Source organism: Homo sapiens, chromosome 6, assembly GCF_000001405.40.
Source record: "Homo sapiens chromosome 6, GRCh38.p14 Primary Assembly".
Classification (NCBI taxonomy): Eukaryota; Metazoa; Chordata; class Mammalia; order Primates; family Hominidae; genus Homo; species Homo sapiens.
In genome coordinates this window covers 107,148,781-107,149,964 of record NC_000006.12, presented here as the reverse complement: position 1 = coordinate 107,149,964, position 1,184 = coordinate 107,148,781, and the positions used below count along the sequence as shown (strand labels likewise).

The following is a 1,184-nucleotide window of genomic DNA, read 5'->3' as shown; positions in this document are numbered from 1 at the left end:
AAACATTTCAATTCTGTCTCCCCAGAAACAGTTTGACAAAGCAGTTTCCTGGCCCACTAAGTCCTCTTCTTTTAAATTCTCCAACTAAGAAAAATTGTTCTCTGACATAAGAACAATATCAGGCCGGGCGCGGTGGCTCACACCTGTAATCCCAGCACTTTGGGAGGCCGAGGCAGGTGGATCACGAGGTCAGGAGATCAAGACCAGCCCGGCCAATATGGTGAAACCCGGTCTCTACTAAAAATTTAAAAAATTATCCAGGCAGAGTGGCGTGGCAGGCTACTCGGGAGGCTGAGGAAGGAGACTCGCTGGAACCCAGGAGGCAGAGGTTGCAGTGAGCAGAGATCGCACCACTGCACTCCAGCCTGGGCTAAAGAGCGAGACTCCTCTCAAAAAAAAAAAAAAGAACAGCCGGGCGCGGTGGCTCACGCCTGCAATCCCAGCACTTTGGGAGGCCGAGATGAGCCGATCATGAGGTCAGGAGATCAAGACCATCCTGGCTAACACGGCGAAACCCCAGGCTGGAGTGCAGTGGTGCGATCTCGGCTCACTGCAAGCTCCACCTTCCGGGTTCACGCCATTCTCCTGCCTCAGCCTCCCAAGTAGCTGGGACTACAGGGAGGCTGAGGCATGGCTAATTTTTTGTATTTTGTTTAATAGAGACGGGGTTTCTCCGTGTTAGCCAGGATGGTCTCGATCTCCTGACCTCATGATCCGCCAGCCTCGGCCTCCCAAAGCCACCATGCCCGGCCAACCTTGTATATTTTACTTGATAACACCAAATTCTCTTGGGTTATCTTGCTTATATAATGTGGCTATCCAGTCACACCTAAAAATAAATGATCAGTGACATTGTTTGCCTGGTCCAGGGTTTCATTCTCCAGTGTTTGTAACTTTATCTTACCTATGACAATATTATTCTATGGCCCAAGATGTGGGTGACACCTACAAACTTGGGCTAAAAGACGTATACATTAATGCAAAATGTTCCAAAAAGATATAGGACTTTTTTCTGGTCACATTGAACTCCAGTAACCAGAAAGTAACCTGAATAATCCTCAATGATCTCCTTTCAAAATTTGACAAATGGCTATACTAAAGGTGTTTTTAAATAAGCAGGTTTTAGGCCGGGCGCGATGGCTCATGCCTGTAATCCCAGCACTTTGGGAGGCCAAGGCGGGCGG

General features: G+C 48.4%; 1 annotated feature.

Moving 5' to 3' along the window:
• Nucleotides 377-877: an enhancer, noted in NCBI's record as "H3K4me1 hESC enhancer chr6:107470292-107470792 (GRCh37/hg19 assembly coordinates)". NCBI's record gives its function as "activates a minimal SCP1, AML or CMV promoter by ChIP-STARR-seq in primed H9 embryonic stem cells {active_cell/tissue: H9 hESC(primed)}" and the evidence as "EXISTENCE:reporter gene assay evidence [ECO:0000049][PMID:30033119]".